A 26,361-nucleotide genomic window follows, 5' to 3' on the forward strand; every position below is an offset into this window, starting at 1 on the left:
GAAAAGTTGCATTAAAAAAACAGAATTCCCACCGTGTCCCAGATTTTCCAAATAATCCTGCCATTCGGAAGCCTGTTCATAGCCCCAAAGTACTGAAAGGCCTTGCAAAATGCTCATAGGTGGAACAGCAGGAAGCATCTAGAGCCATCTCAGAGGGAGCCTTCTGCTTCCAGAAATAAATTCACACATTCACAGGTGCTTCCTGTTTTTTCAAACACCTTGCCCACCTTCTGCACACCAAGCGTGGATTCTGCAAAACGTGAGCCCAACAGGAAGCTGCCTGCAATTTCAGGTAGCTTTTCTGACTCTTAAAGAGATCTCAAGTATACCTTCAGAGAAATGCCAGCAAAAACTGTAGTCATTTGGGAAGGAATAAGCCTGGAAGAAAAAGATACAACGAACTAGCACAACGAGGGTGAGAACATTTTTCATGAAAATGCTGTTTGTAAATTACATTTTTAAACAAATAAATGTGTTTTCTTTAGGTTTTTAGCTCCTGTGGGTGGAATTAGGAGAACCAACTGTAAGTGGGTGGTGTTTGTCATATCTCTGCTGTGAGGGAGGAAGAAGAAGGAGGAAGGCTGGGGTGGAGAGGAGGAAGGAGACCCGCATGGCTGGAATGTCTCCACTGAGCTCAGGGGGATGAATTCCTCTGAGACTTCTTCTATTTCAGGAAGCTCACAAACCCTTCCTGAGATCTCAGAATAACCTTGAAATGAACATGTAGAACATTGATTAAGTTGTGAGAGTGTTCACAGTAAGCTTTGATTGAACTATTCTAGGGAATTTCTTCTTAACATGGTCACAGGTGGATGAGTTGGGAAGAAAATGCCATGGGCGCCGTACTCAGTTTTAAAATGAATTCAGAGAAGTTGTTCAAGGTGGTGAGTGCCATGTCACATATCATAGGTCTTGGATAATTTAGGGTGATTTTTTAATTGTAATTAAAACTACTAATTGCATAATTACTGCTAACACTACTGGTTCAGTTCCAAGTATGTATTCTTACATTTGCTTTTGTTTTGTTCTGTATTTTCCCAGCCATATTGCCAAATTAAGTTAAATCACGTAAATAATTTTGCTTATTAAATTGACTTCTTAATGTTCTTTTTTTCTGAAATGAAACTAAAAACAATATCTACAAAGTCAAGCTTATTCAACTTAACTGGTAAAAGGGCTGCATGGGAGAATGTTTCTCAGCTGAAATTCAAAGAAATGTCTTTAACCTACAATGGTCAGAACTGGTCCATATAAATCCTCTCTGAGCTCACCTTTGGCAGTGAATTAAGGGAACAAAGTTAAGAGCGATTAGCTTTGTTTTGCTTGTAGTAACAAAAATAGAAACATCTGAACATCTTATATGACCAATAGAAGCTTTCTAATCCTTTTTTAAAGGAAACTTTATACACCTAAGGGTTTGAAATACATTAATACTTTTTTTTTTTTTGAGATGGAGTCTCGCACTGTCGACCGGGCTGGAGTGCAGTGGCGCGATCTCAGCTCACTGCAACCTCCGCCTCCTGACTTCAAGTGATTCTCCTGCCTCAGCCTCCCAATGGCTGGGATTACAGGTGCCTGTCACCATGCCCAGCTAATTTTTTGTATTTTTAGTAGAGATGGGGTTTCCCTATGTTGGCCAAGCTGGTCTCAAACTCCTGACCTCGTGATCCGCCCGCCTCGGCCTCTCAAAGTGCTGGGATTACAGGCATGAGCCACCGCTACATAAATAATTTTTTTTTAACTTTAAACTCTGTTCTACACAAGAAATTATTTATCTTCCACCTGCCCTATGTGGTTTGGTGAAGCACCATGTCACCATGTGCATATGGCTATTAAAGATCCAATATGAACATGCTATAGTTTCAAACAAGTTGCTGTCCAGAAAGAACCTGACATCCTCTCGGGACACACACATATCACAGTAAAATGATACCAGATAATGGCAAAGGAGGGATGGAGTCTAGACTTGGTCCTATTATTTACCAAGTATCTCTAGGTTTCCATTTTCTCATTAGCAAAAAGAGGAAATTGGATTATGTGTTCTGTAAAACTGCTCCTAGCTTTAAAGTGTATTGATTATTAGGTTTTAAGAAGATCTGAAATAAAAGACGGCACATGCTAAGTGGCAGATGAGCTGCTATAATGGTTCTGAAAAGGAAGTGACTGCATAGGGTTGGAGCATCTGGGAAAGCCCCCGTGGGGTTGAGAGGTGTGGCTGGCTCTAGAAAATGGGCAGAACCTAAGAAGGTAGAGATGAGGGGGAGCAGTTCACAGGGCACACTCAGGAGACCAGGGGATGCTCGACTGTGGCTAGATCCAGACAGACCCCCGATGCACATGTGAGTGCTAGAGAAAATCTTGTTTCTTGCCACCTTAATGAATGAGGATAATAAGATCACTTGTGGGAAAGTTTTAGTAGCTAAGACTGCTGATCCAATGGGCAAAGCATCTTCAAAGGAAAGCCCGCAAGATGGGCCATGTTAAACCCAGAACTTTTGCCAAGGCTCTTTGGCTTCTCCGCACCAGGGAGGTCTCAGTCAGTACTTCGTACTGCAACTATGCCCTCACATGACTCCTCTCTTTTAAATAGCTGGAAGTCTCTTAAACAGGTTCAAAAAACAAGACTTCCTAATACAAAACCAAACAAATTCTGCCATCTCTTAGCTCTGTGACCTTGAAAAGTTTGTTTTAAATGAAATAGCTCAAGGATAGAGAAAATTATCTAGAATGAAATAATAAGTGTCCATATGCTTGTCATCCAGCTTTGTTACATGTTATTGCTCTTAGTTATTTTCTCATAGTTATTTCAGATTTTTCACAAGGAAAGAAAGGTTAAAGTTGACTCTAATTATGTACTACCTTTCAAGCCAATTCTCTTCCTCTCTCTCTCTTTCTCTTTCTCTCTGTCTCTGTATCCAGGAGTAAACACATTTTGAATTTGATGTTTATCTTCCCGTGATGTTTCTGTATTTATGCTCCATAGACACCTACAAATAATATTGAGTATTGTTTTGTGTCCCTAGATGTTATATGAATGGTATCATACTTTGCATTTCTTTTAATATCTGGCTTTGGTAATTCACCATTAAATTGTTGAGGTTTATCCATGTTGATACACATTATTTTCACTGCTACATAGTATTCCACTGAATCATTATTCCAAAATTTATCAATCTATTTTCTTGTTAGTGGAATCTTGGGTTGTTTAAAAGATCTTTCTATCTCGAATAATGTTGCAACATAGCCCTCTCACGTGTTTCCTCCACATAGGTCAAAGCTTACCTAGGAGCCATTGGAGGACACATATACTGTTAGTTTTGGAAGGTATTATATAACTGCTCTGTCCTTTTCTAACAGTGACAGCTTCCAATTCTCTACATCCTTGCCCACGTGCAACATTTTAATCCTTTTCAATTTGATAGGTATACTATTTTAATGTATGTTTACATGCTATAAAAGCCTTTTATGCTCCATTGTACAGAATACTGAAGTAAAATCTCTATTTCTCTTGCTGCATAGCCCAGTCTAGTTCCTTTTAGGACTAATCTAATTCCTTTCAGTTTATGGTATTTTGGTTACCAAATTAGACACTGTTTTTCTTTGAGTAAATATATCTCAAAGCAAGTGTTGACTTTGCACAGTAACAATGAAAGGTAAATTGTTTGCAAAAGTAGAGATAATATCACTGTGCCAACTTTAAGGTTCAGAAAACATCCCTTGATTTCGTATCCCATTTTCTTTCCCTTTGGTCCTCCCACCAGTTGATAACCACCATGAACAGCCAAAATACTGCATGCAAAATTATATTTGTGATATTTGCAGCTTGACTTAAGAAAATGAAGTAGCCGAAAATCTGAGAAATATGTCCTCTTGTCACTTTCCTGTCCTTGTGCAGTGCTGAGGGATTTCAGACACAAACAGGTCCCCATTAGGCTCGAATCACTTTGATAAATCTCTGATAAGCATCAAGGTTCTGGGGCTTTTTACAGAAAAGAATTTCTTTTTCTTTATTTTTTAATTTCTGAATTTCATTGGGCAGATGAAAGTTCCTCTGTTTCTTTAGAAAATCACCCTCTGTTTTTTACGCAGTTCATGATGTACTTTCTTCTTTCACTCGGACAGGATTTAGAAGAGCAATCTGGCATTCATCTCAGTGAAAGCATCAAAATATCTAACTCTGTCAGATCATTAAATAGAACACTATATAGTTATAAAATACACATCTTAAACCATTTATAAAAGGTCATTGAGGAATCTTAAGTGATCTGAAAAATGTTCATGAGATAAAGCTCAGGCAGTGGAAATAAACTATATGTATATGTGCATATCAAAAACAGTTCCATCTCTATCTTTCAATCTATTTCTCATCAATCTATCTAGATAAAAGAAATATACCAAAATGCTAACAATGAATATCTTCCAGTGAAGAGATCATGAATTATTAAACACTTAAAAATATATTTCTGATTTTCCAATAGTTCTACCATGAACATATATTATTTTTATGACCTAAAATGATTAGAACAAAAGGCACTTATTAATAAAAAAGATAATGTAACAAAGTTCTAAGAAGACATAGTCTTATAGTATGGAGGCTTGATAAAGAAATTTAATATATTCAGTTACTTTTCTTTTGACTTTCCTTTTATTTTTCTTTTTGCAAACTCTTTCTGAGTTGAACATAGGTTTGGGAAAATAACAGAATTGTAACTTTCCACATATATTTCTTAAACATACGTTTAGTAAATTTAGACATGTACAAGTATGTCTAAATGGTAGCCTGCTGTGGTTTATTTGCATAAAGGGCAGAGGGTCTCAGTAATAACAAGTTATTATTTTCTTAAGGTTGATGGTTAGTACCATCATGTTCCCCCCAAAACCCCACTCATTGTGGCATGGGGAATAATTTAACCTTCCAAGCATTGGGAGGCATGTCAGTAGAGGAAGGCAGTCATCATCACAGGAGAGTTGTTGTACACAGGTTGAATTGGGGTTGTCCTTTGGCTAAAGAACTCAGTTGCACCTTCATACAGTGACAACAAGCTTCCTGCCCCTCCTTCAGAGAAGAGCCATGGCCCTCAGTAGAGGGAGCTATAACAGAGAATGAGTTAAATGAATGCTTTATTAACCAGTGTTGGTTCAAATCAATAAGTCACAGAATGCCCAGTTTCATTCATATCCGTCAACGCATCGTTACATCCATATGGAGGTACAGAAAGGAAGGACAGTAGGTGGATGATGTTGTGGGGATCTCCTACCCCTCCTGAGTTCCTATTACATCTATTATAATCACAATCCTACACTTATTTCTTGAGTAAACAAATACGGAGATTTTTTAAATATGCTGCTTTATCCTAACTTGGTAAAACCCCTATATACAATTACCTAAAACTAGGGGGAGAATTTAAATACAGCTTTCAAAGCAATTTAGCAATTGTGTATGAAATGGACACACAACATGTCTGCCGCTATTCTAAACATTGTAAGGCTGAAGAAATAAGACACTCCTCCAAAAAGAACATCTAGGGATCTTATCTGGATGATGAAATAGATGTACGTGAAGCACACAAACAACATTACATGTTCTAGGAGGTGCAGTAAGATGAAGCATCATAAGTGATGAAAGTGATCCACCGCAGATTTAAAGTATGGACCCTGGAATTGGCTTCCCTGAATTCCAATCTCAGTTCATTTTATTATTGGCTGTGTTTAAAGAAACTTAGGCAAGTTACCTAACCTCTTTATGCCTCAGTTTCCTCATCCAGAAAGTGGTGAAACTAATATGTTTCATAAATTGTATATAATATGCTTACAAGAGTGTCTTAATACACAGATGAAGCTCAATAAACAATTACTTTTATTACTATCAAATGTCAAGAAAACTAGTTTAGAGACTACATGTGATACTTAGAAAATCTTTATTGCCAGGGTTGGACCAGGCTTTTGAGAGAAAGTGCCTTTTAGAAATGGCAGGGTGGGCTGAGAGTGGTGGCTCACGTCTGTAATCCCAGCACTTTGGGAGGCCAAGGTGGGAGATCATGAGGTCAAGAGATCGAGACCATCCTGGCCAACATGGTGAAACCCTGTCTCTACAAAAAATACAAAAACTAGCTGGGCATGGTGGCGCGTGCCTATAGTCCCAGCTACTCAGGAGGCTGAGGCAGGAGAATCGCTTGAACCCAGGAAGCGGAGGCTGCAGTGAGCTGAGATTGTGCCACTGCACTCCAGCCTGGTGACAGAGTGAGACTCCATTTCAAAAAAAAAAAAAAAAAAAAGGGCCGCGCACTGTGGCTCACGCCTGTAATCTTAGAACTTTGGGAGGCCGAGGCGGGCAGATTACGAGGTCAGGAGATCGAGACCATCCTGAATAACATGGTGAAACCCTGTCTCTCCTAAAAATACAAAAAATTAGCCAGGCATGGTGTCATGTGCCTGTATTCCCAGCTATTCGGAAGGCTGAGTCAGGAGAATCACTTGAACCTGGGAGGCAGAGGTTGCAGTGAGCCAAGATTGCGCCACTGCACTCCAGCCTGGGTGACAGAGTGAGACTCGGTCTCCAAAAAAAAAAAAAAAGAAAAGAAAAGAAATGGCAGGGTGAGATATTCAAATAAAACTTTCAGTTTGCCTTTTACAAAAGACTGAGGATTATTTATCCCAACAAATGCAAAATCATTTCCATAAAGAGTAGAAAATATAAGTGGTAGGAAGAAATATATCAGCTGATTATTTTCTTTAAAACAAGAATCTCAGATCACTCATTTGACATTTCTCTTCAGAGTTTGAAAAGTTCATGACAGCTCACAGCTGATGATGGTGGCAATCTTAAGGATACAGAAAGCTCATTCCTCATGCAGGGAAGAAGAAAATATTCTAAAGAAGAGATAAGCATATTCCATGAAATCAAAAAAGGTAGGAAAACAATATTTATTCATTAACTCCTTCACTCACTCAACGAACATATATTTAGTGCCTACTATGTGTTAGGCATGGTACCAGAATCTGGAATCCAAAATTTAAAAAGTCTCTGTCCTGAAGAGTTTACAAGACAGGGCAGTAAGTAAGTGATCAAAATACCGTATGATAGCAATTAGTACAAGGCATGGAGCTGAGCCTGGATAGTAAAGCAGAGGCCATGTGAATGAGTTTTGTCTTTATTCTGATACAAATGTGAATCCATTGAAAGATTTAAACAAAGAGAATGCCATCTAACTAGTTTCATTCTTAAAAGATCATACTTGTTGTATAGTGAGAACAAATTGAATGGTGAATCAGAGCTGAGATTTTGTTATTTTTATAACTACAAAATCTTGTATAGTTTTCTACACCTATAAAGTACAATGAGTTCACACCCTCTTAAATCTATGTAGCTGTGTGTCCCTCCATGCTATTATTCATCTAGCAGTCTGCCTTCTGCTCCCACTCATTTCCCTACAATGAGTAACAGAACTGCAAGTAGACAAAGAAGGATGGAGAATGAACTTGGCTTCTCTCTTTCAAATGGAAGCTAGCAGAAAAGCTCAGGAACTCACACCTTGAGGAGAGGGTAATATGCAGTGGTTAATAACATAGGATATTGATTTAAAAACCAGTGTTGTCCATTGCTCATTCTATGACCTTAGGCAAACTTGTCAATATTTCTGCTCTTAATATCTTTACTTTATGATGGTAATAAAGTTATTTCTATCTTTTATTTGTCAGACTCAGCTAACTACTATAAGAAATAAATCAAATCTCAGAGGCTTAACACAATAAAAATGTATTTCTGGTTCAAGTTAAGAAAAGGCATTAACTAAAACAATAAGATAAGTTATTATAATATAAAATAGCAGGATAAAAACATTACATAGATAACTTACTATTTTATATACATAAACAATGATTATTTAGGAGATGTAATAACAGAAAAACCCTCATTTATAATAACAACAAAGAACATGAAACACTTAAATAAACTTAAAAGGAAATGTGCAAAAACTGTATGAGGAAAGCATTTCTGAAAGACATAAAACACTGAAGAAGAGCCAAGAAAACACTTAAAAAGAAAAACTAGAAGGAAGAACTAGCCCTATCACACATTAAAACATACTATAAAGTCTTCATAATTAAGAGTGTAGGATGCAGGTGCATGACTAGGCAAACGAACTGATAGAATAAATTAGAAAGCCCAGAAATTGACTCAAGTACATATGGAAATTTAGTATATGATAAGTGACATCACAAAATTGCTGGGGCAAGAAAATTTTAATAGATGGTTCTGGGACAACTGGATAGGTATTGGGAATGAAATAAGTTTAGATCCATATCTCACACCATATACAAGCATAAAGACCCAATGAAAAAGAGATATAATATAAATGTAAAAAAAAATTTTTTTTTAAATAGCAGAAGAAAACATGGGTGAATTTCTATTTAACGTTGGTATAGGGAAAGATTTTCTAACCATGACTCAAAATCCAGAGGCAATTAAAAAAAAAAGATTGACGAGTGGCCACATAAAAATAAAAATTTTAATGCATGGCAAAAACACCATAAACAAAGTCAAACAACAAACAAACTTTAAAAAAATGCTTGCAACATTAATCTTTCTATAATAAAGTATATATTCTGCTAATATATTAAAAACTCCTAAAATTGAAAGAGAAGGGATTTTAAAAAAATATTGAACTAGATAAAGAAACAAGAGTAGATAATTCACAAAAAGATATATAAAAAACCTTGTAAGATAGCAAAAAATGTTTAATATCATTCATAACTAGTGAAATACAAATTAAAACTTTATAGGAATATTATTTTTCACTTATCAGATTGGCAAAAAAATTAAAAATATGGCAGTCATCTGTAGGGAAAGAGATACCCTCACACATTGCTGGTGACAATGTCAAGTGGTACAAGCTTTATAGAGGGAAATTTGGTAATGCCTAAGAAACTACACATACACTTATTTTTTAATTCAGCAATTCCACTTCTAGGAATTTACCCAGAAGATACACCTCCGATAAGGCAAAAATATATTTGCACAGGGTTATTAATTGTGACATTGTTGTTATTGCAAAATATTGGAAACAATGTAAATATCTGAACACAAGAGAGTAGTTAAACAAATTGTGTACCTCTACAGGCTCTAAGAGAAAATAAAATAGAAAAGGATTCCTGTGAACCTATTTGGATTGTTTTTCAGAACACAATCCAAATAGGTTTTTCTTAAGTGAAAAAGAAAAAAGACAAAGTGCAAAAGAATATCTATTATGTGTCAACTTCTATGAAAGAGAGACCAAAAAAAAAAGAAAAAGAAAAAGAAAGAAAACCACAAAAAGGTTAACCCAGGAACTAAGATTGCTTATATACAGGGATAACAGGAAGGAGTTGGGGTGCAGGGGATGATGGGGGTGGGAAAGGAACACTTCTCTGAGTATAACTCTTTCTACAGTTCTGACTTTTAGAAACCATGGTAATGTTTCATTACCAAAAATATAAATAAATGACTAAAATCAAGCAGGGTGAAGGGAGAACCCAAAATTCAATACAAACAATAACAAATGAGCCTAACTCAATTACAAACCACACTGAAGGGGATGAGGAAGAAAAGAATGAACTGAAGACAACTTTGAAATCCAATGTATTATTATATACATGTATTATTAATACAATGTACATATTATATACTCTAAGACCAAAGACCAACAGGAATGTACACAAACATTTTACATTAGTTTGCAAGCTCCCCAGCCCCAAAGAGGCATTGGTTAGTAATTATAAACCCAGTTAATGTTTATTTTAGGATTGTGCAAATAAGTAAATAATATTTGGATAACAAGAGGGAGATTTCTTACTTTTAGAGAAATGAGTTACTAGTAAGGAAAGGAGGAAGGCTAGAATTAACACTGTAATACTGGACTGAAATCAAATGTATTGGTATGAACTGATGGTGATAGATAGATGATAGATAATAGATAATAGATAAGATAGATAGATAGATATAAATAGGAATCAAATGTATGAACTCGTGGTGATAGATAAATGATAGATAGATAATAGATGATACAGAGATAGAGACTTAGATTATGTGTATGTACACATGTTTATTATAAACAGATTTTTATCTAGCTTTGTCTGATGAGAGGGCCTAAAAGTAATGACACCAGTAGCAATGAACACAAAGAGCACCTAGATCTTGCTTTCTAGATGACATTATTTAATAAAAGAAACCAAGGATCCTTGAGAAATGACTGAGCTCATGGCTGGGGCAGGGAAAGTACTGTGTAAGATTATCCTGGAACATCTTGTGCCAGAAAGAAAAGAAGCAGTAAGAACAAAATGGTGGACACATGTTGAAAGGACACAGAAGCCAACTTGAAGGGGCCCCCAGTGGTCAATTGTGAGCCAATTTGAAGAACAAAGTAAATTATGGTAATAATGGAGTATAGCATATAGAATAAAATAAGTATTCATGACTGCATACTGATATACTTCAATAATGAAATAACTAGCAAATGGGAGAGAAGGGAAAGCTCTTCTTTACAGTAGAATTATAATTAACGAGTGTCAAATAAATTATTAAAGTAAAAAAAATCACTAGTTGGCGATGAGTGGGGCAATATATAAGAAACAGGATATTTACATAGTCCTAAAGTCTCTCTCTACGAAGTCCTTATTAAATACAAAAGTAAAAACAGTTCCTTTACAGTGGAGCAGTCTGGCAGACACTACCTTAACCAAGTGTTGAAGGCTAACATCACCAATAATAAGAAGTATTCAACAAAAAGGACCCATGATATATGTACTGAGAAGCCCACAATATCGCTTCTGTGGTAGTCTTACTAAATATGTATAAGCTGAATTTAATCATTATTACCTTAATCATAATCTGGATCTTGGCTATAAAATAGGCATTAATGTGATAATTGGCAAATGTTGAATAAGGTCTGGGGTTAGTTAATAGCATAATATCAATGTTAGTTTCTTGATTTTGAAAATTATACTGTGGTAAAGTAAAATATTAACACTGGGAGAAGTTTGGTAAAAGGTATATGGGAGTTCTGTGTACTGGCAACTTTTTTTAGTCTGAAATTATTTCAAAATAAAAAGGTAATAAAAATATTAAAAAGAAAGAAAAGGTATTTAAAAACATTTCTACCTATGATTACAAAACTTCATTTTAAAAGAGATGACTTAACACCCTCTCAAAATATATTTTCTTCTCAAAATAAAAATGTTGGCCACATGCAGTGACTCATGCCTGTAATCTCAGCATTTTGGGAGGCTAAGGTCAGAGGATGGAGAATAGCTTGAGGCCAGGAGTTCAAGACCAGCCTGGACAACATAGTGAGACCCTATCTCTATAGAAATAAAAATAAAAAACTAACCAGGCATCGTGGTGCACACCTGTAAGTCCCAGATTTGAGAAGGCTGAGATGGGTGGATTGCTTGAGCCCAGGAGTTTCAGACTGCAGTGAGCTGTGATTGCACTAACGCACTCCAGACTAGGCCACGGAACAAGGCCTTGTCTCTTAAAAAAAAAAGTTAAATACTTTCTTAAAAAATACACATGGAAAAACATATTTATTCCATAAATTCTCCCCCAGATCAATATGTTCCTTTGCTCTGACCCATTGTTTTATTTTTTTCTGCTATTGTTCATATTTTCAGAGGATATGACCTGGGTAATGAAGTAATTTTTTTATAAATTAATCCTAGTTATAATTTTACCTCAGTGAATTTGAGCATCTTAGAGTCGAATTTTATGTACAGATATATGTTTTTCTAGGCAACAGATTTAGAGAACTTCATTTCTATTCAAAAAGCCTAGGTATAAAGGCCTGGCATCCTTACTCTATAAAGGATAGGCCTATTTTATAGACCACAAGACTCATCACTACTCAATAGTTACCTCACACTCCTAGTGTCAAACCAGAGCACACACATACACACACATATATACTTGCACATACATACAAACACACATATAATGTATACATATGTGTGTGTATATATACATTTTCAATAACTTGCTAATCATGATGAATGCTGTCTTAACTTTTTTTTCAAACAAAAGTCCTCACATACTTGTTACTGAACCAACCTAGTGCAGGGCACAGAAACAAAGATAAAACATTTTTTCATTAAAACATGTCCCACAGTACAGATAGTGGCAACGTTTCCAAGTTGATATGGTAAGATGCCAGTGACCCCAGTACAGCATGAATCTGAGTGCCATCTCATGTGCAAGTCCTTACAGACCCAGCTGAGTCTTCTCCAATGTCTCCTCTTGGAGTCGTAGGTGCTCTTATTACCAGTTTTCATCTGATTCCACTAGGGAATGGGATGATTTTGCTTTTGTTTCTTGGCCAGAAATCGCTTGATACTGAAAACCTTGCGAGCAGACATAGTGAGGAATGGAGTCAACCGCATACACCACAATGGCAGAGAAAGGGAGAGACCCGTCTTGTTTTATTTTAATGAAATATTTTGCTTTGGAGAATTCAAAGAAAAATATAGGAGGTCACCTGATTTTACCACCAGAGGGCATAAGACATTAAGAAGTAGGGCAAACAATGTCCACTTGCTCGTGAGATTCTCTGATTTCATGGTTTGAAATCTCTAGGTGGCTATTTCAAAAAATGAACTCAAACCCTAACCTGAACCAGAACACAGACCTAAAAACAAAGGTTTAATATTCTGCTACTGAAACATACCAGGAGGGAAAGCAGTTCACAGCATGCACTGAGGGCCACAGACAAATAAGCTACCTGCAAATGAGGATAGGAAAAGGTTAGGATGGAAAAGCTATCTTTTAAAAATCCTCAACCATGTTCTCAAAAATGTAATTTATTTACATGTGTTAATTATATTATTGATTTAGGTTAAACATTGAAATAAGTTGGCAGTGTTAAATTTGATGTTTCCTCTCCCGGTAATGTTTGAGAAAAATATTACCTGGTTAATGCAATCTTTATCTAGCAAAACAGGGGTGAGCTGGTCTAGAATCAATGAGACCAAGGTCTTGAGTTCAAATTGTGCGTGAGTCAGTGAACCTCTCTCTAAAACAGGGCCAAGCCCTCCTCCTAAACCGGCAAATGCACATGGTAGGTCATGGGGGGAGTGGCGAGAGAGCACACACGTGCATAGCACACACCCAGCACTGCCCTGGAGAACTCGAAATCAAACTGCACATTCTGTTGATGTTGTGTCAATGGACTCTCCCCATAAATAGTATTTGGCTCTCAGAGTCAGATAATTTAAATTTCTCCTATTCCTCTCACCACCCTCCCCTCAACTCCCACCTTTTACATTTCTATGTTCTTCCCCACGTAAGCCCCTTACCCTTTTAAAAATCTTTGATAGGGTGCATACATGGAAAAGGGGGTGGATTACTTATTTTAATGATTTAAAAATTATTTTAATTCTGCCAACAGTTTTCCAAAGTAGAAGCAACTTGGATGGGCAGGAGATTTTAATCTTAGACATAGACCCAACTGGTCTATCTCTATTCTCTGCATGAGATGGCACCTTACCCATTACAAGGATATCATTTCCCGCCTGCTCCCTTGCTTAAAAGTCTCTGGAGCTCATTTCATAGATGAGGACTTTTGAGGGAAACTGCATCTTTTTTGGAATTAACATGATATTACTATATCCAAAGGAGCCTTCCTGGGTTTGAGGATAATCAGGACTGATGCTGCATTTGTGCAGCAGAAAGTATCAGTGAGCCACATGCTGTCATGTGCTGCGTTCAAGTCTCTCTAAGTAGGTAAAAGTAAACTGGAGAACTGAGATAATCATCTTGACAATTTAGTCAAAATACTCTATATTTATTCTAGATATAAGGACTAAGAGCGTGTGTTATTTAGTATGTTGCTTTACACTTCTAAAATACTTGAGATAATTGCAATGTTTCTTTTACTTTTTAATAATAGTACTAGATATAATTGCATTACATAAATGTTCTGTTATCTTAAAATTGCTAGAGTCCATTTCTGACTAAAATATCTCATTATTTCATTTCTACTTCCTCACCTCTAGCTTTTTAATCAGTCTTTTATTGTCAGATTTCATTTTCCTCTTTAGAAATGGGTGAGGTGGAGCCCCAGTTGTGTTTAACGGGTATATGAAAACCATCTTTTGAATCTTCCTATCCAGGCTGTTCTTATTGTTGTGATACCTTTGGGAACACAAATGGAGTTGAGTGAGTCCCAGAGGAAAAGCCTACCTAGAACCTACTCAACCTGAGTTCATAGTTCATAGAAGCTAATCATATTCCCCCCTTTTTTTTTTTTTTTGCATTGAGCACCTGATTAACCTCCATGAGTCCACACTAGAAGTGACACTGAGAAAGAGCACATCTTCTCATCTCCCATGTGTCCCTCAAGGGTCCCTCATCACCTTCCCTTCCTGAACTCAGGTCAGATGGATTTCCTCCTTTCCCAAGCTTCAATGCCTCCCTTGCGCTAAAGCTTACAGAATCCGTATTAGGCCGGGCGTGGTGGCTCACGCCTGTAATCCCAGCACTTTGGGAGGCCAAGGCGGGTGGATCACGAGGTCAGGAGATCGAGACCATCTTGGCTAACACGGCAAAACCCCGTCTCTACTAAAAAAATTAGCCGGGCATGGTAGCGGGTGTCTGTAGTCCTAGCTACCCGGGAGGCTGAGGCAGGAGAATGACGTGAACCTGGGAGGCGGAGCTTGCAGTGAACCGAGATCGCCCCACTGCACTCCAGCCTGGGTGAGAGTGAGACTCCGTCTCCAAAAAAAAAAAAAAAAGAATCCGTATTAATTTGGCCACTATCCGAGGCTATGTTGGTTTGTATGTGGCAACAGTTTGTAAGCTTTGCTGACATTCAAAAACAGGACACTTGGGTATACTGGATAAAGCCCTGCCCTAGGGATCTGGATTGCAGTTGAAGCCATGCCCCCTCACACCTGAGTGGGCTTGGGTATGCACCTGGGGTAGTAGGGATAAAAACTTCAAATACTACTTCAAATATTTGAAGAAAATGCAGCTTCTCTGTTTTCTGTCATAGATCTACTCTTCCTCATAAACATCTACCTCACTGGGTACCAATGCATGGACAGCACTCTTTTATACTTGTCAATATTCAGTACTAAAGTCTCTTGTCTTTTAAATGGGCTCCCCCATGATGCATTTACTTTTGCATCTTCCCAGCTTCCTCTCTCTCCCCAGAGGATCTTCCAAGCTTCCTCAGGATCTTCCAAGCTTCCTCTGGATCTTCCCAGATTCCTCTCTTCCCAATGCTGGATCTTCCCAGCTTGCTCTCTCTCCCCAGAGGCTGGGGCTGATATAATCGTGTGGTAGCAAGGGAAAGGCATGTCAGAGCCCTCTGGATCCTCCGTGCATGGCCTGGTCCCCTCCCAGCTGATGTGTCACTCAGTCCACATGGGTCTTTGGAACATTTTTCTGGCACACCCTCTGGTTCTGACCATTTGCCCCTGGTTGTGCCTTCCTTCTCTACAGCCTCTGTGCATCTTCAGGCCTCTGCCAATTCCCTGGGCTTCTTAACACCAATACGTCTGCTTGTCAAGGCTCAAAGAACTTTTCAGAACCCATAGGATCAAGACTGTCACTACTATCTCACCTCACACATTAACAAAGAGTCTTCCAATACGGTCTTTTTTCCCCAAGTGCTCCAAACAGTGATGGGGAAAAATTGGACTCTTCTCTGGACTTTTCTTAGCGGGATGCATATACTAAAAACCTGCCTCTCCAATTCTCTTTTCTGTCTCCTTTTTTGCAGTCCACTGGCACAGAAGGATAAACATCCCACTTCTTTCTAACACCTGTAAGGGACCTCTTTTTTATATCCTCTACATATCCTCTTTTCATATCCTTTCTGAGGTGACATTTATAGTCTCCTAAAGCAATCATGGTGGACAAGGTGCAAAGACAGAAATCTAGTTCACCCACAAAGCAAGATGTATCTGGAGAAATTCCAAAAATATTATCCCTCTTGCACCTAATTTTTCTAATTCTCAGTTTCCTCAGAAAAATTAAAGGGGGAGCGGGTAATAATGCCTGCACCTACTCTCCAGAGGGAAGATCTCTGTGTCCCTCTTGAAACCAATTTGAGTTAAAACTGCAGGAAGTAGAATTTCTCCAGATGCATTTATTCCTTAGAGGGTTTACACCCTCAGAAGGCCTATACTGACAGACAATCCTGTCTGCTGACTTAGCCACGATACAGCATGTAGAAATGCGCACACACATGCATGCACACGTGCATACACATGCACACACACAGAGCCATTCTCCCCTTACACCCACCTCTTTGGAAATGTCCTCCAATCTGTGTTAGGCTCAAACAGCAAAAAAACCCAAAAACGAAACCAAATCAAAACAATGATCCTTAAAGTCTCAATATAATTACAAATCCAATATGTTAACTTTTCTTAAATGATTCAAAAATCCTAAGAACAGACCACAATTATTTATGTATTTATTCAATAACTTGTCCTGGATGCTTGAATACCTCAGTAATCAAAATAGATCATGACCCTTGCCCTTATACTTGACAGGATGGGAAAGAGTGGGAAGAAGGGAGGCAGATACTAAGCAATATGCTAAATAAATAAGTAAATAATAATGTACATTAGAAGCAGAGGATGGAATAACAGAAATAGTAGAATACACAGGTTGAAAGCATTTATTATTATACCTTTGTTTCTCATATTTAAAGTAATTCATTTATTCATGTTTCTCTAGTTATTATACCTTCCCAGGGTTAAAATAACCTTTAACCTCCAAGAAATGGAATATTATCTCAGACCAGCTAAGACTGCAGATTACGGGTTACTGATCAATGAATTCTTAGGGCCTGGGGCCTGCTTGAAACTTCCGGAGGGATTCAAACTTAATCCAGTAACCATCTCTCTGCCTTTTTCCCTTCCTTCCCTTCTTCCTTTCCACTTTTTAGCGTAAAACGCTGGAGGAGAAGTCAGTAGCAAGCAGCTAAGACAACATGGTACATGTGGTGAGTACATAAGAGATTTGGTTTGTCACACACTAAGGAATTTGATTTTTACCCAACAGGTGATCAAAGGACAAAAGTGACAAGGTGGTTTTAAGAAATGTCTCAGGAAACTAATCAGCAGAGTAAATTTACAAGATAATTTTCAAAAAAATTCCGAATTTATTTATGCTATCAACCTTGTATAAAGAATTCTAGAAAAAAGTTAAAGAAGGAAATTTTTATGTATAAAACATTGAAAAACAAATTCCAGATTTTTTTATAAGCTGAGATTAATGAGTCAAATTCTAATGAAACCATCAGTATTTAGCCATCTCCCTCACTCATGAAGGAAGGGATCAGACATACCCATTGCGCTATTGTCTGGGAAGAATTCTAAGACAGCCCCATGATCTCTGCCCGGGTGTTTCATCCATAATTAGGTTACATTATAGGTGAAAGTGAAGGGATTTGGCAAATATAATTAAGGCCTCAAATCAGTTGAAAAGTTCATCAAAAAGGAAGATTATACTTGCTGGATCTGACTTAATTAGCTGGAAGCCTTTTTAAAGAGGGTTTGGATTTCACTGAGTCAGAAAGAGATTCTCCTGCTGGCACTGAAAGAACAGGCTGCCATTGGTTCTGCAGCTGCAAGGAAATGAATTTTGCCATTAAGCATGTGTGCTTGGAAGAAGACTTTGAAACTCACATGAGACCCTAGTCCCAGCTGATCCCTTGACGGCAGCTTTGTGAGACCATGACCTGAGGACCCAGTTAGGCCAAGCCTAGACTCCTGACCCATGGAAACTGTGAAATAATAAAAGCATGTTGTTTCAAGATTCTAAAATAGTGATAACTTGTTACAAAGCAATAGAAAAGGAATATACCCTTAGAATGATTTTTTAAAATCACATGGAAGAGTGCTTATCTATAAAAACAGTCAGTGTGTGTAGTAAAGGCACAGAGCCTAAAGCCAGACTACATGGGTTCATGTCCCAACACCACCCCTCCTTGTTGTGTGACCTTGGGCATGTTCCCCTGTGCTTCCATGCCTCCATTTCCACATTATGAAACGAAGATAAACACAGGACTCCATTCATAGGATTATTTTGAGAATTAAAGGACTTCAGTTATGCAAAGTCCCTAGAAGGGCAACTGGCACACAGTAAGCACTCTATGAATCATTAACTATCCTTATATGATGCAGCTCTACTAATTGTCAGTGGAGCTAGATATATCAAAGACTTTCTTCATATACCCCCTTGACAATTAAGAATGTCATCCTAATATAAACACTCAAGGCATTTGAAGAGATCAAATTTATCACTGTGTTGAGTTTCAATAATCTATTTTAGTCAGAAAAAATAAATAATGGATGAAATGATGCAAGAAATACAATCTCAATTTTAAACTGAAAAAATAGCTGGTGGAGACCTAATCATTCCTGAGAGTTTCTTAATGCCCTCTCTCCCCTAAGATTCAAATATCAGTCACAGTTTCAAAGTAATCACTATAATACATGAACAGCTGATGAAATCTCATGTTGTAATTGCCACATGTTATTTTCAAGGAATTGCACAATGCAAAACCTCTATATTTACACAATAAAATAGAAGGAAAATACTTTTGGGAAGGCTACTTAGCCATGACAGATAGATAGAAAGACAGAAGAATAGGAGGCAGAGATAGAGAAAGACAGAGGAAGGGAGAGATGGAAGAAAGAAGGAAATAGATGACTTGGTGCCCTCACGATGAGATGATACATCTTGAATCCCCTGGGTCAAATGGAATCTTAAATAAATAAGTGAAGCTTCTTCTGAAGCAATATAAATTGTTGAGCTATAGCTTCTTTAAAAAATCAGGCAAACTAAAAATGGAAAACCATTGTCTTAAGATATCCAACTAGAATTTAGCTAGGAAAAGGAAAAAGTCAATTGTGATATGAAGTTCAATACTGCTAAAGACTAGCTACCTCAGAATTGCAAGGGGGATCTTTTAAAAATTAGAGATACAGCCAGGCGCAGTGGCTCATGCCTGTAATCCCAGCACTTTGAGAGGCCGAGGCAGGCGGATCATGAGGTCAGGAGATCGAGACCATCCTGGCTAACACGGTGAAACCCCATCTCCACTAAAAATGCAAAAAATTAACCAGGCATGGTGGTGGGCGCCTGTAGTCCCAGCTACTCGGGAGGCTGAGGCAGGAGAATGGCGTGAACCCAGGAGGCAGAGGTTGCAGTGAGCCAAGACCACGCCACTGCACTCCAGCCTGGGCGACAGCACGAGACACCATCTCAAAAAAAAAAAAAATATGTAGAGATACATAGTCTTTATCCCAGAGATTCTAATCTAGGAGTTCTGGAGTTCACAGCAGGAAACTGAATTTTTAAAAAGCTCTTTATTAGTTAAGGTAAGTTTTAGAAAGAATCAAATTCCAAGGTGTCAGTAGATTAGCACAATAGAAATTAATTTCTTGTTCGTAGGATGGCTCATGGTGAGGTTGGTAGGAGGCTTCTCCACATGCAGTCATTCAGTGACCCAGACTATTTCCATCAGTGGCTCTCCCATATGCTAGGGTTTCATAGTCATCCGCATCCACCAAGTAGAAGGGGAAACAGCATGGAGGAGCACTATGGGAACTTGTAATGGACCAGACTGAAAGTAGCATGAATTTTCTTTTTTCCTCTCATTCTGTTAAGGAGATCTCAGTCACAGGGTGACAGCTACCTACAAGGGAGGAAGGGAAATACCATCCAGCTGGTGTTCCAATAAGAAGAGGCAGTAGATTTCAGTGAACAGGATGAGTGTCTGCTACAAGCACTCCATGTGATTTTATGTACAACTGGTGCATGATTGAAAGTTCACAGTTGAAAATACAACTTTTGAGTCCAAATAATCTAAATTCCAAACTTGGCCATTTGACAGCTATGTGATCTTAGGCAAAATATCTCCCCTCCTTGTGCCTTGGTTTCTTCAGTTATTCATCTTTTAAGTAAAGATTAAAAACATCCTACATTGTAAGGTTCTTGTGAGACTGAAATAAGACAATATGTTTAAAATAATTAGAACCATAACTGGCACTTAATAGTAACACATATTTTACTTAAACTGTATTGTCTAGGAATCAAGGTGTTCTGCTATTTGAGATAAGAACTCAGATGCATCAGTATCAGAATATATATTTTGTCCCAGCTGAATTATTACATTGGAACAGTTTTTTGTTTTTGTTTTGTTTTGTTTTTTGAGACAGTCTCGCTCTGTTGCCCAGGCTGGAGTGCAGTGACACAATCTTGGCTCACTGCAACTTCTGCATCCCAGTTCAAGCAATTCTCCTGCCTCAGCCTCCTGAGTAGCTGGGACTACAGGCGCCCGCCACCACGCCCAGCTAATTTTTTGTATTTTTAGTAGAGACGGGATTTCACTGTGTTAGCCAGGGTGGTCTCGATCTCTTGGCCTCGTGATCCACCCACCTCAGTCTCCCAAAGTGCTGGCATTATAGGCGTGAGTCATTGTGCCTGGCCTGGAACAGTTTTTAAAGGTAGAATTTTAACACACCAGAAGTTGGTTTCTTGCTCTCATAAAAGTTCCTGGGCAACTGGGCAGCTCTCCTCCATGCAGTCATTCCGAGATCTTGTCTTTTTCCATCTGGTGGCTCCCCAATCCCTAGGCTTTATCATCATCTCATCCAGTGTGTAGAGATACACCAGGGAAGCAGTACTCACTGTGGTCAGAGCTAAGAATTCAGTGCTGCAGTATTAAAATATTTGAAGCCCACTGAAAGAATAATTGATGAGTTTTAAAAATAAAATAAAAGCAACTTCCAAAATTAAGAAATTGAAAGTGTTGATAGTTGATATCTCAAGCTGATATTTACAATAATCTGATGATTTTAATTCAGAGTGTTTCAGATATTTTTAGATTTAACTTTTGCCACATATGAATGTTTACCACTACACCCAAGGGACTCCATGAACACTTCTGGAATAGGACCTAAGCTTTATGGTGCTAATCATTTGAAGCAAGTGAAACCATCATTGATAAGCTTGATGCTGTATCATTGAAAGGATTAATTTACAGAGTGGTTCTGAAGTCTGGACCACTATTAAGGCACTGTCCAATCAGTGAAGTTATCTATTTGAAGTAGAGATGACCTTTGTTCAGCATTTTTCAAAGCTGAGTAATGTATAGGCCTCTTTAAAGAAAAAAAATTCTCACTAAGCCACATGAATATATCCATGGTTTTCTGGTCTTCAGACGCCAGTTTGCGGAGTACATCCCTAGTCAAAATAATTCAGAGCAAAATACGTCTCTGCATGCCTCATCTTCTTGCTTTCTCCATCATTTTCCCAGTTTCAAACCTTACTTCCCCTACCCCTTGCCACAATCACACACTTTCTGTGCTGTCCTCCCCGGTAAGCATCTCATAACATGCTGCCTTCCATCTGACTTTCCTGATTCCATTCCAAGTTTACCTTTTAGGTCTTGTTCTTGTTTAATGAACTCTTGCTGACCATAAAGTTGATTAGAGCCTGGCTCCCCATGTGCTCAATTTACAAAGTGGTAGTCAATGTTCTGAACACAAGAATACAACCTCCTTCTGTGTTCTTGCCTTGGGCCGAACCACATATTAGGGAAGTGAGAGAAAAAAAATGTTTGGGATACCCTTCATGTGCCAGGCCTCATACAATCATTTCACTTTTTTACCCTCGTGCCCTTGGGAAATCACTCCAGCATTTCAGCTTCCTTTTACTCCTATGCAAAAGGAGGATGGTGACAATTTCCTAGGTTCAAATAATAGTTACTCTTTCTTTAGTTCCTTACTGTGTTCCTAGTTCTCTGTCAGGGGTTAGATGTATTATCTCGTTGAATCTTCAGACACTACTATGAGGTAGGTTTTTAGATGAGAAAACAGGCCAGAAAAGGTTTTGTAAATGGATCAGTCCATTTGGGCACAGTCCTCAGAGCTTTGGAGTTTTTCAGGTGATATTGGCTCAGCTGATAATATTTGCTTCCTAAGGCACAGTAACAACAGGAAACTGTACGACCAGAGGCATATATAAAATAAATAACCATCTCATCGTGCTCTCTGTTTAGCAGCACTTGTTTGGTGGTTCTTTGCCACATCAGCCCACTTTACAAGTAATCGAGTAAGGTAAACTTAAATTTGACCTAGTTTAATCAAACTGTGGGTTGTGGTTCAATCATTCAACAATTTATTACTAAGAATTTAAACAGTTTTAACAACCACTGTAAGTGCAGTCTTTCTTTTGTGGTCTCTCTCAGAAGCTAATGTTGCTATTTCTGACCACCCTGTATATACTGTAACTCCTCCAAAATAACCTGAAAATGCAAAAAGCGTTACATTTTCACAGACATCATACTTCAAAGAGCATGAATAGAAAGAAGGACCATGGAACTGATCTTGAGATGATGTTCCAGCAAATTCGAGCTCCCAATATCATCCTTGATTTTGCTCAATAATAACCTATATTGTTTACTTCCCACTTAATGAGAAAACTCAAATGCAGACTGAACTTGGGAGTGCTGGTGTCAACAGAACCATCAGACCGCAGCATGCTGAGACCAATTGGTCTCCACTACTAGTACCAGGCAGCCAAAGTGAGAGGATCAGCAAGGGCCAAAATCAATGGTGTTGGGGCCTCACCGAGGCAGCCCAACCTTACGGGAGCCAAAAGTCACCCCTGCTCAGCCTACAAGGCAAGAGGCACTTCTAATAGGGAAAGATTAGAGAGAATAGAGAAGCTTCTCCAGCAGATTCCAATGCTGTTGCCTTTCAGTTTCCTGTTTGGGTTTTGCAAGCCTCCTTCAGTTACCCTGGAATGTCAGAACAAGCAATCTGCTTTGAGTTGGGGAAGGTTTGATGTTTTTTTCATGTGGGGGTGTTAATTTCATCAGAAAGAAAAATGAAAAAAGCCCGCCTCCTGAGCTCAGTAGTGTGGCATGGAAATGTAGCACATCCTACTCTGATGTTTCTTTCCTGCCTCCCTTAGCCCTAGTTACTAGATTGCGGTTTACAGGTTGTTTTGTTTTTTCTTTCCTTTTAATTGGTTTTACTCTTCATGCCAAGTTGCTTTAAGGATCTAAATTTTTTTAAGTACTAGGGAAAGCTTTTATCTGCCACCGGCCAGGACTGGAGAGATGAGTTTGCAAATGTTCCACCTTCATGCTTTGCCCCATATGAGGCTCTCTTCTATCCCATTTGCATTCAGGGGAGTTACTCTGAGTTTGGTCCATGACAGCCACTGGTCAGGAAAGGAAACAAGGTCATGCAGCTGTGTTAGCCTCAACAAAGAAGGCAGGAATACACTATGCTCAACCAGGGGAATGCTGCCTTCACTTCTCCCTAAAATGAGGAGAGGAAAGGAGAGTAAAGGAATGAGAGGAGCACGTGCAACCAGCTTCCTTCTCCCAAACACTTTTCATAAGAATTCATGTCAAAGCCACAGACACAATCTGGGCCAGTGGTTTGAGGGGGTGAAGAATCTGGATTCCCTCAGTTGGTTTGACTTGTATGAACTCAATTCAATTCAACAAGCTTAAGTTTATATATCACTAATTATATCTATTACCATCACTGTATATCTATTATCATCACCTCACAGGCATACCATAGTTCCAGCCTGTGGGCATTTTAATTAAGGAAAGACGACTAGCGATGCATAGAGTTCAGGATGAGGAGGCCTTTGCTATCAAGTGCAGAAAGAGAACAGCATGCATTCTATAAAAACAACAACAGCTTTGCTCTTTCTGTGGTATACTTCCTTTTGCTTTTGTTTAGAGCTCCCTTGGGGATAGAGAGGAAGCATGAAGTGGCAAAAGAGAGAGGTTAAATAGCATGAAGCTGATAAATGAAGACAAAAGGGGAAAGAACTATCAAGAGAGCAAAGTGATAGAGCTGGAAAGACCAAGCCTTGTCCAGGGCATCTTAGCTCACTGCAATACAGAAGCTTTAACCATTTTGCCTGGGATTGATTCAAAAACCCGTGAACCACTGAATATATCATTATCCAATTTTATTGAATTAGTTTGCAGCACATATTTTTAGCACTTAGGCAAACATTTCTGTGCAATTTAGATCTGAAAGTCAGGGTTTAGGATTTGGGATTTATAGGGAAACAACCCTAGCCCCACTTCCTCTCAATGCATTGGTGGAGGTTGGGGCTGCAAGGTGAAGGACCACGTAATACAAGCTGCCCTGCCTTCCTCTGGCAGCAGTTACACAAAGCCAAGCAGTTGTCTTGACCTCAGAAATTCTCAAAGTCTTTAACAGATGAATGTGCAATATGGCACTCCAAGAGGGAGGTACAGTAGGTTACATGTCACAAATATATTTAATCTTTGAATTCCTCCCCTTTAATTTCACCTACTGATCTATTAATACCTTCTACAGGGTCCAATGTGAAAAACACTAAGTGGGATGGTTAATTGTATGTGTTCCCTTGGCTGGACCATGATGACAGATATTTGGTCAAACATTATTCTGGATGTTTCTGTAAAGGAGTTTTTGGGTAAGATTTGCATTTAAATTGGTGGACTTTGAGTAAAGTAGATAGCCCTCCATTTCATAGGTAGGCCTCATTCAATCGGTTGATGCCTTGATCAGAACCAAAGGTTGACTGTCCCCAAGTAAGAAGGAATTCTGCCAGCACATGGCTTTCTTTTTCCCATAGGATATTGGGGTACAGGTGGTGTTTGGTTACATGAGTAAGTTATTTAGTGGTGATTTGTGAGATTTTGGTGCACCCATCACCCGAGCAGTGTACACTGCACCCTATTTGTAGTCTTTTACCCCTCGCTCCCCTCCCACTCTTCCTCTCAAGTCCCCAAAGTCCATTGTATCATTCTTATGCCTTTGCACCCTCATAGCTTAGCTCCCACATATCAGGGAGAACATATGATGTTTAGTATTCCATTCCTCAGTTACCTCACTTAGAATAATAGTCTCCAGTCTCATCCAGGTCTCTGAGAATGTCATTAATTCATTCCTTTTTATGGCTAAGTAGTTTTCCATCATAATGTATACCACAGTTTCTTTATCCATTTGTTAATGGATGGGCATTTGGGTTGGTTCCATGATTTTTGCAATTGCAAGTTGTGCTGCTATAAACGTGTGTGCAAGTATGTTTTTGCATAATGACATCTTGTCCTCTGGGTAGATACCCACTAGTGGGATTGCTGGATCAAATGGTAGTTTTACTTTTAGTTCTTCAAGGAACCTCCACACTGTTTTCCACAGTGGCTGTACAAGTTTACATTCCCACCAGCAGTGTGGAAGTGTTCCCTGATCACTGCATCCATGCCAACATCTACTGGTTTTGTTTTGTTTTTTATTATTATGGCTATTCTTGCAGGGGTAAGATGGTATCATATTGTGGTTTTGATATTGCATTTCCCTGATCATTAGTGATGTTGAGCATTTTTTCATATGTTTGTTGGCCATTTGTATATCTTCTTTTGAGAATTGAGCAGACAGCTTTTGAACTTCATTTACAACATTAGCTCTTCCTGGTTTGCCAGCAGACTGCTTTTGGACTTGAACTGCGTCTCTTTCCTGAGTCTTCAGTCTGCCAACCTTCTCCATCAGATTTTGAACTGGCCAAGCCTCCACAATCACATACACCAGTTCCTTAAAAGAAATGTCTTACACACACACAGACACACACACACACACACACAGACACCCTATTGGTTCTATTTCTTTGGAGAACCCTAATACATTAAGTTAATGTAAATTTGGAAAATAGAATGGCGTCTATTTTCAGATGGTCAGATTAATTGTAATTCTTGGTGAAAAGAGCAATGCACATTTCTAATGTACTATACAAACAGATTTTGAGATAAAGGGCAACTAAAAAACCCAGGCACCAAGATCAAATATAAAACATGTCAGAACAAACACAATTTTTGAGAAAAGCATTTTCCTAGCCCAGGGCATGGCCCAGGGCAGAGAAAAAGCACCTGGAGAAGAAGGAAGAGCTCAAAACACCAATCAAAAACACCGTAAGACCTCATACTGAGGTCTTATCTAAAGCAAGCCAGATGGACACAAAGCTTTTAGCTGACAATGCAGGCAGGGGCTTCAACTCGGGGCTGGATTATGTGTTCACATTCTAAAAGTAAGGCCACAGAAGGAGGGATGTGGGGTCACATGCTTCTCCATAATAAAGACATAGCCAGAGGAAAGCTGCAAACAAGCCACCCCTAAAGGGTAGAGTCCACGTAAGGTTTGGAAGGGAAGGGCCGAGACAAGATCCCAGGACACTTGCTGATCTTTTCACCTGAGGTGAGGTAAGGTGTCAGGAGCAAGCAATCCCACCCCTCTGGCAGAGGCTTCACCTTCTCATCTCCTCATATGTGCTACTTTGAAGCCTCTAAAGTTCTTGAA

At 38.6% G+C, this 26,361-nt stretch overlaps 1 long non-coding RNA gene and 1 pseudogene across 7 annotated transcripts in view; one reads left to right on the forward strand and one right to left on the reverse strand.

Moving 5' to 3' along the window:
- Window positions 1-282: 282 nt before the first annotated feature.
- Window positions 283-26,361, forward strand: part of IFNG-AS1 (IFNG regulatory antisense RNA 1) — a 31,867-nt gene continuing 5,788 nt past the window's right edge. For 2 of the 7 annotated variants that reach the window (NR_186227.2, NR_104125.3), the window contains exons 1-3: window positions 283-415; window positions 6,777-6,909; window positions 16,926-16,982. This is a non-coding gene — a long non-coding RNA (IFNG regulatory antisense RNA 1). Of the gene's footprint in view, window positions 416-782; window positions 885-6,776; window positions 6,910-16,925; window positions 16,983-24,366; window positions 24,485-26,361 lie in introns of all 7 variants that reach the window. The other 5 variants (NR_186228.2, NR_104124.3, NR_186229.2 and 2 more) reach the window with 5 other exon arrangements.
- RPL39P28 (ribosomal protein L39 pseudogene 28) lies at window positions 12,230-12,384 on the reverse strand (annotated as a pseudogene).

This window comes from Homo sapiens, chromosome 12 (genome assembly GCF_000001405.40).
Source record: "Homo sapiens chromosome 12, GRCh38.p14 Primary Assembly".
NCBI lineage: Eukaryota > Metazoa > Chordata > Mammalia > Primates > Hominidae > Homo > Homo sapiens.